The 14,348-nt window shown below is 38.0% G+C and overlaps 1 pseudogene; it reads right to left on the bottom strand.

Annotated features, from left to right (window-relative positions):
* On the bottom strand, positions 4,513-5,713 carry LOC100130210 (tyrosine 3-monooxygenase/tryptophan 5-monooxygenase activation protein epsilon pseudogene; annotated as a pseudogene).

Raw genomic sequence — 14,348 nt, forward strand, 5'->3', positions numbered from 1 at the left:
GTGTATTTTAATATGTAACCCATATGTTGTACATTACACTGTTTCACCACATTTGTAATAGCTTACTTTCAATTTGTTTTTTTTTTTCAGATATGACTTGAGAAGCTTATCGTTTTTTTTTTCTTTGCCCATTACTTTGGCTGTTTTTTCATTGTATTGACAAATATTTAAACATAAGCTAAATATCTGATGTTTATGTACCATATAATTTCTTTCGACCCTTCATCATGGTGGTTTATCTAATTGTGTGCAACATAATGCATAACTTAGTTTTCACATATGGAAGATGTCATACTTGGATTGTCACCAGTCTGTATATTTATTCGCTGATTCCATTTGCCTTGTTGGAAGTTGAACAACCCACATGAATCTGACGTTCTTGTGATTAGTCCTGTCTGAATAGAGCACGTGCTTCTTAGGTTGACTACTCCACTGGGATTATTCCCTTCATTTACTTCTGGTCCTGGGAATTTATATTTTTCTTCAACTATATTTAGCATAATATGGATTGTTTTAACTTCCTGACAATTTTAATTGTATTAAATGTTTAAAAAATATATATTATTTTCCTGAAAAGCATAAATAGCAACAGTTGCATACATTAGTAAAATGTGGCATAGTCTATGACATAAAACATCATCTCGTGTGAAATCTCAAGTCTCTTGATGTAGAAGACCTCCTTCCCAATACATCATATTGTAGTAATTTGTGAAGTGTGATTACTTTTTACTATTATGTATGTATTGTATACGTATTATGCACAAATTTCAGAAACACTCCAACGAATATATAGCCAGAATTACTGTTTTATATCATAGAAAGCTAATATGGGTTATTTACCTTAATTCAGATTTTTTTTCTACAATTACTATTATTTCTCACAGCACTTCCCTGATATCAAAAACGTAGTTGGATTTAGATTTTTTATTTAATCCAGAAGATGTTGAAAAAGGTTTTAAGTGGAGTTTACCCGTGGCTAGATAGTACTTGTTACCTTTAACTTTTTTTTACATTTATTGAGGTATAATTGACAAACTAAAAGTATATATATTTAGGATGTAGAATATGATGTTTTGAGACATGTTTATATATTTTTTAATTACCTCGGTTAAGCTAGTTAACATATTTATCACTTTACATAGTTACTTTGTGTGTCTGTGTGTGAGTGGATATGAGTGGTAAGATTACTTGAGATTTGATTTTGAAAAAATTTTAAGTATACAGTATTATTAACTATAGTCACCAGTCTGTATGTTGCATTCTCAACATTTATTTATTTTATAGCTGTAAGTATGTATCTTTAGACTGATACCTTGTCATTTCCTCCCACATCCTAGCCTATAGTAATCATTATTCTTGTTTCTATGAGTTGGAGTTTTTAAAGATTTCACATAAATGTGAAATCATGCAGTACTTGTCTTTCTGTATCTGACTTATTTCACTTAACATAATGTCTTCATGGTTCATCAATGTTGTTGAAAAAGGCGGAATTTTCATCTTTATTAAAGATAAATTACAGATATTAGTTTCTTCATATATTCATCTATGCTAAGTAGTAACCTCTGTAATTTATCAAATTATCTTTTCCATATTATCATTCAAATACAATATTGTTTTGCATTTATTATTATTAAAATTAATTTCCTGTCTTTAAAAAATTTTTATGAAATTTATGGGGCCAATTCAATCTGCCCTCTTGATAAAAGCCAAAGTTACATGTCAGTTTTACTAATTTGGATTTGATTGAGATTTTTATTGCCTCAAATAATAAGTATAAGCATTAAGGATAAAAATACAGTTATGTTCTTCATCTTACAACAAAGCAATCTTTGGGTTATTTATTGGACAAAAGACTTATTCTATATTATTATTTCTATTTTTATGTTACTTACCTAAACGTTTATTACACATAGAATGCCACAAAATAGGAATAAATTGGTAGTCACAAATTATGAAAGTAAAATTAAGAAACAAGATATGCTTCCCAGAGAATGTCTGTAACAAAAATAAATGAAGTATGTTTTAGGTGATGCATATTCTAATTCCCCTGATTTGATTATTACATATTATATGCTTGTATCAGACTATCACACGTATTACATAAAGATACACAACTATTATGTATCTGTAACAATTAAAAATAAAAAAGAAAGTAGATATGAATATATGTATATATAATCATGTAACAAGTAAAGTATTAATTAAAAATATTTCCACAAAGAAAAGTTTACAGCCTGATATCTTATGTGTCAAATTCAATGAACATTTAATAAATAATATCAATTGTTTAAAAAAACTTTCAAAAACTGAAAAGAAATTTATACTTTCTAACTCACAACACTAGAGTTATTATACAACAAAATATATGACAAAAATGAAAAAAATTCTCCAGATTGAAAAATAACAAAACTGTCTTTTTTTGCAGATGATATAATTTTCTATATAAAAATATATAAGGGGTTCAATAAAATATCCCTAAAACTATAAAGTTAATTAATGTCACAAAATGAAAGATCAGAAAACAAAATTAAGTTGCAGTTATAGATGAAATAAATCAATGAAAATGAAATAAAGAAAAAAATCATTTATAATAGCAATAAACAGAAATATTAACAAAGTTTTAAAAAGAAGTACAAATGTATTACACTCGATTTCTTAATTCAGAAAAATCATAGAACTGAATACATTAACATACATTAAATAATCAATTACCATTTTTAAGATTATAATATCTCACAGATCTACAGATTCAATAAAATCTCTTCAAATTTTTAACTAGTTCTAGTGGAAATTGACAAGTTCTTCCAAAAAACAAATATAGATAAGCTGGGCTTGGCGGCTTTGGGAGGCTGAGGTTGGAGGACTGCTTGAGGCCTGTAGTTGAAAAAGAGCCTGGGCAACATAGGAAGGTACTGTGTCTACAATGATAAAAAAATAAAATTAGCTGGATATGGTAGTGCATGCGTATAGTCCCACCTACTTGGGAGGCTGAGGTGGTGGAATTGCTTGAGCACAGGAGTTTGAGGTAACAGTGAGCTTTGATTGATCCACCTCACTCCAGTCTGAGTGGCAGAGTGAGACCCTGTCTCTAAAAAATGATTTTAAAAAACAATATAAATGTGCACAGAATACCAAATACACAAAAGTCTTTAAAAACAATTTATACTTTTTGATATAAATTCTTATTATCAAAGATAGATTCACATAATTAATAGAATATATTTGAAGATCCAGCTGGGCGCGGTGGCTCATGTCTGAAATCCCAGCACTCTCGGAGGCCGAGGCAGGTGGATCACTGGGGTCAGGAGTTCAAGACCAGCCTGGCCAACATAGTGAAATGCCATCTCTACTACAAATACAAAAAAATTAGCCAGGTGTGGTGGCATATGCTTGTAATCCCAGCTACTCGGAAGGCTGAGGCAGGAGAATCGCTTGAACCCGGGAGTCAGAGGTTGCAGTGAACCGCGATTGCACCATTGCACTCCAGCCTGGGCAACAGAGCGACCGTATCAAAAAAAAAAATGACTATCTCAAAAAAAATCCATTAAAAAACACATTGATTTATGGCAAATTAATATTCACAATAGTTCCAAAAAATTTAAATGTGGAAGAAACATCTTTTCTGGGAATTTTTCTAAGAACATTGGCTATAAACATTTAAAATAAAAAGTTAGACCCCTATCTCAAATCAAACATACAGAAGTACTTAATGTAAGCTGTAAGGCTAAATGTAAGAGCTAAAATGACAAATTTCTCACAAGAAACATAGAAGTAAATTTTTATAATCTTGTATTAATTTCTTTTGTTTGTTTTTTACATTTAGGTTTGTTTTATTTAATGTTAATTCCATACTGTGTTTCAGTAAGAATGATACAGATTCTGTGTCTGTGGCTCCAGTCAGATATCCAGTAGTACAAATTAGCTTCCAGTTACATATACTGAACAAAAGAGATTGAGCTAGTAGAGGGGAGGAGTGAAGTAAAAGTAGGCAAGAATGAGCAGCCACGATTGTTGAACTGTTACCAGCACCATGCTTTCTAGTAATATTTCAGCAGAGTTTGAAACACTTTTTACAGCAAAACCATTACAACTCCTCCCTCCGCAAACAACGTTTAACCATCTCAAGCTAACACCCAATTACTTTGAAACATTTGGTATAAAATACGGTTCAAACAATTAGAAAAACTGAAAAATGATACCACTTAATGCCTCTATAGTGTGATTAACATCTCCCTTAGATGCTTGCATCACCTAGAAGTCTTAATGGCTTTCAAACGTAATTTCCATTTCTAATGGTAATCTTGCCACATCTGGCACGGAGACAATACAGTAATGCTGAAAAAGCCTCTGCGGTCCTGTTAGTGTCTTAAAGAACCTAAAAGCTGGGACCAGTAAAATCCACAGAAATTCACTTCTTGACTTTAAGAACTTTTGAAAACTGTTAAAAAACAAACAAACAAACAAAACACACACACACACACACACACACACACACACACACACAAATCCCACAAAAAACAACAACAGGGCAGGAACCTAAATTCTGAGGCCAAATGTAAAAGTCAGATTTGGTGGTTCTTAGTGACAATGGGGACTTTCCAAGGGGTGGGTGGGATGGGGAAGAGTGGGGGGGTCAGGGATGGTTTCTCTTGTTGGCTTTTATGTCTCACTGATTTTCATCTTCCACGTCCTGCAGCGCTTCTTTATTCTGTTCTTCACCATCACCCTGCATGCCTGAAGTCCATAGTGTCATTATAGCTTCCTTCACTCAGCGTATCCAGTTCTGCAATTGCATCATCAAAAGCTGCTTTTGCCAACCTGCAGGCATGGTCAGGGGACTTAAGAATTTCATAGTAGAGCACTTTGGGAGGCCGAGGCGGGTGGATCACGAGGTCAGGAGATCGAGATCATCCTGGCTAACACGGTGAAACCCCGTCTCTACTAAAAATACAAAAAATTAGCCGGGAGCGGTGGTGGGCGCCAGTAGTCCCAGCTACTCGGGAGGCTGAGGCAAGAGAATGGCGTGAACCTGGGAGGCGGAGCTTGCAGTGAGCCGAGATAGCGCCACTGCTCTCCAGCCTGGGTGAAAGAGCAAGACTCCCTCTCAAAACAAAACAAAACACACAAACAAACAAACAGAAAAACAAAGAATTTCGTAGTAGAATAAGGAAAAATTGAGAGCAAGACTTAAGCGAATAGGATGCGCAGGTGGAAGTTCTGTCATAGCAATATCACTAGCAGCTTTATAACCCACTAGGCTGTTCTCCACAGCCTCCTTCCTGTCATTTCCTGTGGCAAATTCTGCCAGATACCTGTGGTAGTCCCCTTTCATTTTATAATAGAAAACCTTGGACTCACCAGTGTTAGCTGCTGGAATGAGGTTTTGTCCAGTACATACAGAAAGTGACAACAGATTAAATTTAGCTCAGTCTCAACCATTTGCTGATATTCCCAAATCATTTTTAGCTTGTCTTCTCCCTTGTTTTCTTCTTTCTGTTCAATGCTGATTATTCTCCAGAAGGCTCTTCTAGCTTCAATCACATTGTTATATGAAACAGATAGGAGGTTTCTTTCTTCAACTGTCAGCTCCACATCCATCCCTGCTACTTTCTTCATTGACTACACTATTTCTTGGAAGATACTGCGGGTTCACTTCCAAAGCACGTTGTATTGCTCAGCCTGCTGGCCTGCTTTGCCTGGTAGCAGATCCTCTATTTTTTTTTTTTTTTTTTTGGAGATGGTCTCGCTCTGTCGCCCAGGCTGGAGTGCATGGCGCCGGCTCACTGCAAGCCCTGCCTCCCAGGTACACGCCATTCTCCTGCCTCAGCCTCCCGAGCAGCTGGGACTACAGGCACCCGCCACCGCTCCCCGCTAATTTTTTGTATTTTTAGTAGAGACGGGGTTTCACCGTGTTAGCCAGGATGGTCTCCTGACCTCGTGATCCGCCTGTTTTGGCCTCCCAAAGTGGTGGGATTGCAGGCATGAGCCACCGCGCCCAGCCACCAGATCCTCTTGATCACCCATAGTGGCAGAGGCTCCCACAGGGTCTGTGCGACGGACGGAAGCAGATAGTGTCTCTGACTCTCTCAGCCTCTGGTTCCATGTCCGGGCAGCAAAAATGGTGGCATCTCAATCTGGGACTTCCACCTGCGCACGCGGACAACTGCTCAGCTCTATGGCAACCGCTCCCTGGCAACTAAGGATTTCTTAAATAATACCACAAAAAAGCATAATCAAGAAGAAACTGATAAACTTCATCAAATTGAGAAACATTTTTTTCAAACACCAAGAAGAATATATAATCTAAGCTGCATAATGAGAGAAAATATTTCAAATTATATATCTTCTTAGGCTCTAGTATCCGGAATATAAACAAAACCAAAACAAAACTCTTATATGTCAAATAAAAGGACAAATTACCAATTAAAAATGGTCAAGGGGCTTGAATATATGTTTTACCAAAGAAGATAGGCAAATTGCTAATATGAACATAAAAATATGCTCAATATAATTTCCTACTAGGAAAATAAAAATCAAATGACAATGAGATAACAATGAACACACTATATTGGCTATGACAAAGAGACAATAACAAGTGTCAGCAAATCTGGAAAGTATGGAATTTCTATGCATTGCAGCTGGAAAGGTAAAATAATGTAGTCATTTTGTAAAACAATTTGGCAGTTCTTCAAAATTTTAAACACAGAATTGCCACATGGCCCAGAAATTTTTCTCCACATATGTATGCAAAGGAAATGAAAATCTAAGTCACACAAAGACTTGCATGTGAATGTTCACAGCAGCAATGTTTATAAGAGCCAAAGGGGAATACCATCCAAATGTCCACCAGCTAGTGAAAAAATATGTGTCATATTTATGCAATAAAATCCTCAGCATTCAAAGGGAATTAAGCAATAATCCATGCTACATTGGAAATAAACCTCAAAAATAGTAAACTAAGTGAAACAAACTAGGTTTCAAAAAGATTATGTAATGTATAATTCCATATATAAAAAGAGTCCATAAAAAGCTCATTGATAGAAAATAAATTAATAGATGTCTAAGGCCTGGGTGATGGTGGAGAGTGAATGAAAACAAGATAGATTTTACTCTGAGATGATGAACATATTTTAAAGTTAGTTGTGACTATTAGTATGTAACTCTGTTAAAATATTAAAAACAGGCTGGGTGCGGTGGCTCATGCCTATAATCCCAGCACTTTGGGAGGCTGAGGCGGGTGGATCATTTGAGACCAAGATTTTGAGACCAGCCTGACCAACATGATGAGACTTCCATCTATACTAAAAGTACAAAAAAATTAGGCTGACGTAGTAACGCATGCCTGTAGTCCCAGCTACTCGGGAGGTTGAGGCAGGAGAATTGCTTGAACCCAGGAGGCAGAAGTTACAGTGAGCCAAGATCCCACCACTGCACTCCAGACTGGGCAACAGAGCAAGACTCTGTCTTAAATAAATAAATAAATAAATAAATACATTGATATTGTACAATTACAATGTCATTGTATTATATAAATTATATCCCATTAAAGCCTATCAAAAATAAACATGCCAAAAGTATTAAAATAGTTTCTGACTTTAAGAAATCCAAGTAACAGACTTTTAACACCAAAGTTATTTCTGCTGATTTAATAAATATTAAAGAAAGAAGAAGATACTTTAAATATCACAAAAGGACACAAGTGCAACCAAAAACATTATAGAGGTTACGTAAGCAAAAAGAAAACAGTTTGTAAGGAGTATTTATGAACAGGAACCATCTGGTTTTACTAGACTAGAAAAGTGAAGTCATTCACAGAAGACTACTGTAACTCACAGATGGTTAGAAACAAGTTATGTCATCATAGAATTAAAACAATTCATTTTAAAAATTAAAAATTAATTAAATTTTTAAATTAAAAAATCATTAAAATTAATTAATTAAAAATATTCAGAGATGCAATCTAATATAAAGTTGGTTGATGGCACCCGTCTCTACAGTTAGAGTAGCCTATTGCTGCACATTCATCACTTCTTCAAAACCAATCTCAATACCCAAATCTGATACTAATCTCTAAATTTATTACTACAATTTATGAGAAGATATCTGCCTATTTTTTAAATTATGTAACATGGCTAATGTTCAGTGTTTGAAGGTTTTTATTAAAAATAACTTAAATTTTTTATTTACAACTCATTATGGAAATTAAAAATGTAAACAAAGATATGGAAATTATACAAAAATTCATGAGTACCCATCACAAGGCTCCAGCCATTATTTTGTCTTTCATTTTCAATTATTAACTCCATATTTTGGTAAAATGTTAAAGTAAATATAAGAATCTGTATTGTTAAATTTGTAGAAATTTTGTAGCTGTAACAATGAAAATATTATTATGATTCCTCATAATTTTTCCTTTTTTGAGACAGAGTCTTGCTCTGTTGCCCAGGCTGGAGTGCAGTGGCATGATCTCTGCTCACTGCAACCTCCGTCTCCCAGGTTCAAGGGATTCTCCTGCCTCAGCCTCCCAAGTAGCTGGGATTACAGGTGCGTGCCACCATGCCCGGCTAATTTTTTGTATTTTTAGTAGAGATGGGGTTTCACCGTGTTAGTCAGGATGGTCTCTAACTCCTGACCTCATAATCTGCCTGCCTTGGCCTCCCAAAGTGCTGGAGTTACAAGCGTGAGCCACTGCACCTGGCCAAAAATATTTTAAAATTTATATTTGTGTGTATATTTATGGGATACATGAGATGTCGATACAGACATGCAATATATAATTATATCATGGGGAATGAAGTATCCACCTCTCAAGCATTTATTCTTTGTGTTACAAATAATCCAATTATACTCTTAGATATAATAAAATGTACAATTAAATTATTATTGACTATAGTCACCTTGTTGTGTTATCAAATACTAGGTCTTTTTCATTTGTTCTAACTACTTTTTGTATTCATTAACTATCCCCGCTTCTTCCCAACCCCCACCACCACCCTCCAGCCTGTAGTAACCATCCTTCTACTCTATTTCCATGAGTTTAATTTTTAGCTTCCACAAATAATTGAGAACATGTAATGTTTGCATTTCTTTCCTGGCTTATTTCACTTATCATAATGACCTGCAGCTCATGTTGTTGCAAATTACTGGATCTCATTCTTCTTTATGATTATGTAGTATTCCATGGTGTATGTACCACATTATCTGGTGTTCTATGTACCTCTTTATCTGGTCTTCTGTTGATGTGCATTTAGGTTGATTCCATGATATTGCTGTTGCGAATAATGGTGCAATGAATATGTGTATACATGTGTCTTTATGATAAAATAATTTATATTTCTTTGGTTATGTACCCAATAATGAAATTGCTCAGTCAAATGGTGCTTCTGTTTGTAGTTCTTTGAGAAATCACCACAGTGCTTTCCACAATGTCTGGACTAATTTACATTCCCATCAGCAGTGTACAAGCATTCCACTTCCACCACAACCTTTGCAGCATCTGTTACCTTTTTGTTTTTTTGAGACCGAATTTCACTCTTGTTGCCCAGGCTGGAGTGCAATGACACAATCTTGGCTCACTGCATCCTCTGCCTCCCAGGTTCAAGCAATTCTCCTGCCTCAGCCTCCTGAGTAACCGAAATTACAGGTGCCCGCCACCATGCCTGGCTAATTTTGTATTTTTAGTAGAGACGGGGTTTCACCATGCTGGCCAGGCTGGTCTTGAAATCCCGACCTCAGGTGATCTGCCCACCTCAGCCTCCCAAAGTGCTGAGATTACAGGCATAAGCCACCACACCAGCTCTTTTTTTTTTTTTTTTTTTTTTTTTTTTTGAGACGAAGTCTCACTCTGTTGCCATGCTGGAGTGTCAGGCGGGAGTGCAACCAGTGGCACGATCTCGGCGGCTCACTGCAACCTCCGCCTCCAGAGTTCAAGTGATTCTCCTGCCTCAGCCTCCCTAGTAGCTGGGACTACAGGTGTGCACCACCACGCCCAGCTGATTTTTGTATTTTTAGTAGAGATGGGGTTTCACCATGTTGGCCAGGATGGTCTCAATCTCCTGACCTTATGATCTACCTGCCTCGGCCTCCCAAAGTGTTGGGATTACAGGTGTGAACCACCATGCCTGGCAGCAGCATCTGTTACCTTTGAACTTTATAACTGGTGTGAGATAGTATCTCATCCACTATCTAATATTTTAAATAATGTGCAAAAAAGGAAACAAAATCAGATTATTCAGTAACAACTGTAACAAAAATTATAGCACATCTGTACAACTTGACATCAAATAATTGTTACATTGCATGGTAGTTGTGAAAACATACATGTAGATTAAATATTTAAAAAAGAAAAGGGGCTCAAGATGGTAAACTAGTGACATTGGATGCCAATTCTCCTTAGAAAGAACAATAAATATTGTGAACTGGTAATTTTACCTCAAACAGAATATCAAGGAAAGAACACTAGAACCTAACTGAGAACTCACGGAGAAAACCTGAGGAACCGAAGGAAAAGGAAGCAAGAGGCCAACTCAGCAGAGAGCTGCTAGGAACCTGGAGGGACTCAGCATTGCTGAGGATGGGTACGTGGGAAATGTTTCCGCAGCCTACATTTCTCCTGTGGACTGCCAGAGTCTGAACTGTGGGAGAGCTCCTTTGTTCTCATAAACCCTGACACTAGCATGGTTGTTGATTTCAAGAACTCTTGAGAGCATAGCACCAGACTGGGGACTTATACTGTGCTACTCACATTCCACCAAGATGCAAGTGGTTGTGTCAGGATGCCACTGGGAAAATGCAGGTATCAGGGGACTGACTCCAGCCCTGTGAACTTCAGTTCCCCTATCTCTGCATCTCAGGAGCTGCCGCTGACATTGGCCAGTGCCAGCTTGGAGGGCTGCAGTGGCACAGAGCTGGCTGGACCCAGGAATGACGCAGTTCCCCAGAAGTTTGGCCCTTACAGAGTGCTGCTCCTGGGAAAGAGGAGAGTTCAGTGAACCGAGAAGGCAAAACTGGGACAAAAATGAAAGCATTGTACTTTCAGAGTCCAAGAGCTGCCTGCTTGGGGACTGTGAAAAGTAATTTTGCTCTCAACAGGTGCGAAAACTGTCTTCAGCTCTGCAAATAAAGAGTGAAATGCCCTCCCACCAGCTGCACAACCTCTGTGCAGCGGCTCAGGCACACAGAATGAGACCCCTCTTCCCCCTTCGCACACCACTGCAGGCACAGTCTCTACTACTGCCACAGGAAGTTGGGGCAGGTGAGCATCTTGAGCTGTGAGTGGTGACTGCAACCCGACTGGCAGCATGGCCTTCAAGCCTAGGCTTAAAAAAAAAAGTCAAAGGTCTGGGCACGGTGGCTTATGTCTGTAATCCCAGCACTTTGGGAGGCCGAGGCGGGTGGATCACGAGGTCAGGAGATCGAGACCAGCCCGACCAACATGGTGAAACACGTCTCTACTAAAAATACAAAAACCAGCTGGGCGTGGTGGCGGGCACCTGTAATCCCAGCTACTCGGGAAGCTGAGGCAGGAGAATCGCTTGAACCCGGGAGGCAGAGGTTGCAGTGAACCGAGATTGTGCCACTGCACTCCAGCCTGGGCGACAGAGCACGACTCCATCTCAAAAAAAAAAAAAAAAAAAAAAAGTCAAGGTCATTCAATGCTGAAGATCTGTGGTCTTCACTGAGAACCAACAGAGCTTGTGTTAAGATAGTTGGTTGTAGAGGACTCTGTGTGCTCTGCCTTTCTCTAGCTGAGTAGTAATGAAAATGGGTTTAGAGGGAAAACACCAGAATTAACAGGGGACTTTAAAAAAGCTAACTAAGGCTGGGTGCAGTGGCTCATGCCTGTAATCCCAGGACTTTGGGAGGCTGAGGCGGGCAGAGTTCGAGACCAGCCTGGCCAATATGGTGAAACTCCGTCTCTACTAAAAATACAAATATTTCCTGACCTCGTCATCCGCCCGCCTACGCCCCGTCTCTACTAAAAATACAAAAAAAATTAGCTGGGCGTGGTGGCGGGCACCTGTAGTCCCAGCTCCTCGGGAGGCTGAGGCAGGAGAATGGCGTGAACCCGGGAGGCGGAGCTTGCAGCGAGCCAACATGGCGCCACTGCACTCCAGCCTGGGCCACAGAGTGAGACTCCGTCTCAGACAAAAAAAAAAAAAAAAAAATATATATATATATATATATATATATATATGTATGTATGTATGTATGTATAGACACACACACACACACACACACACACAAAACTATTAGACGGGCGTAGTGGCGGGCACCTGTAATTCCAGTTACTCAGGAGGCTAAGGCAGGAGAATCACTTGAACCCTGGAGGCGAAGGTTGCAGTGAACCGAAATCGCACCACTGCACTCCAGTCTGCACGTCACAGCAAGACTCCGTCTCAAAAAAAAAAAAAAAAAAAAGCTAACTAATGAGCTCCCTTCCAAACCAACAGAATCGCATTTTCTTACAGTGAGTGAGATCTGGAATACCAAATAATTTATATGCACATGAAAGCTTGAAAGGCAATGCTTAGCTAAGTGGCTCTCACCCTAAACTTCCATTTAAGAGCGTGTGGCCAGTTTGAAGAAATGCCATCCCCTGTGCCCTCGCCACTGCTTCTACCTATTGTTCTGGGTGGAATCGTTCATGTTGTTCTAATTAATTGCCCCATGTGATTCCAAGGTGAGGCCAGGGTAAAGCACACAGGCTCCCAAATCCTTTCAGGAGAGTTGAGTTAAGCTTTTTCCCTGAAGGGAGATCACAGAGGCTGCTCTGCTTGCGTTTGGTAGGGAGCAGGTCAGTTTAGCCCATATTCCCATTGCTGTAACAGAAACCACTGGAGTCTGTGGCAAGGGAGAGTACCACAGGGCAGAAAAATGAGTAAGTCACAGTTTCATCTTTATTTAGCAGGTCATTGTTTCTGAATTCTACAACAAAGGCCAGAAGGAGAGAACATTTTCTGCACTTTAAAGTCCTTCTGCCTGTGGGTGTGGTGGTACCAGGTAAAAAGTTTGTCCTGATGCCTTCAAGGACACATTCTCAAGATGAAGGTGAGATTTGTTCAGTTAATCTCTCCTGAGAAGGAATCAGAGAAAAGAGAAAAAATGGGTGATTCTCAGATAAGTGTCCCAGGTCAAAAAATGTGTCCACTTTTTCTTCTAGGATGTCATGTACCTAGAATTGCAATCATTTCCATTTCTACTTCTGATGTTCCTGCCTAACAAGATTATTTGAACTACTTTTTTCCTTTTCTTCTCATGACAGTGAAAGGACCTCTTTTAAATAATTCTCCCCTCTATACCAGAGCCTTATCTTCATTCTCTCCATCCAGGCTTCTTACATATCACAAATAATTCTTACCTTGAATTTATACTCTGAAATATTGACAGTATTCCCTGTGTTGACAGATCAGTCTGGGCAGGTGGGGATATAAAACATTCTTTTGGGGGATGGTGCTGGGTCCTCAGATATCAGTGAGTGAGAAAAGTCCACTGTTTATGTTCCATCTGGATGCTCCATCAGCTCTATGAAGAACATAACTTTTAAATGAACACTTAAAAAGGATGGAATTAATTGCCTAGGATAATTTGGAAGATAGGAAAAGGGATTAATTTTTACAAATGTGCCTTCTAGGATGCTAAAGAGAGAGCATTTAAATACACTATTAGAAATTACAAAACATGGGAAACATATATGGCTTGAACTTTACATAAAACTGATGTTTTTAATGATTAGATTCAGATTATGGTGTATGATTTTTGGCCAGTAATCTTGCAGAAGTCATGTTGAATCCTCCCGTATGTATCAGCACCTGATACCCATTTGTCCCATTAATTTTATTCACTTGGTTAAGGTGCTCTCTAAAGGATTCCTCCACCATAAAGTTACTTTTTCTTTGAACTCTGTCATTAGCAGTTATCTTGGAGAGACTTTCTGATTAATGTGCATAAACAATCACATTTAATCTAGAAGTGTCCCTTTCTTATTAGTTTCTCTTTGTTTATATCTTGCTTCAGAAAATGAAGCTTGTCAGCATTGTTTACTGGTCTTATACACTGGGATAAAACCCAGGTTCTGTCACTTACTAGATGTTTTACAAAATATTTTTCTTAGCTAGAATCATTGGCATCATTGATGAGTTGTTAGCAATGCAGAAACTCAAGTCTCATCCCAGGTCTCTTGAATTAGAATATGCATTTTAACAAAATCTCCAGTTTATTGATGTACACATTAACAAATGAGCAGTACCTTCTAACTTAATGTGACTTCTCCATATGGGAACTATATACAACTTACTCTGTATAATGTAAATATAGCACTCAAAATTGTATATGCTTGTGTTTATGCC

Source organism: Homo sapiens, chromosome 7, assembly GCF_000001405.40.
Source record: "Homo sapiens chromosome 7, GRCh38.p14 Primary Assembly".
In the NCBI taxonomy this organism is placed as follows: Eukaryota; Metazoa; Chordata; class Mammalia; order Primates; family Hominidae; genus Homo; species Homo sapiens.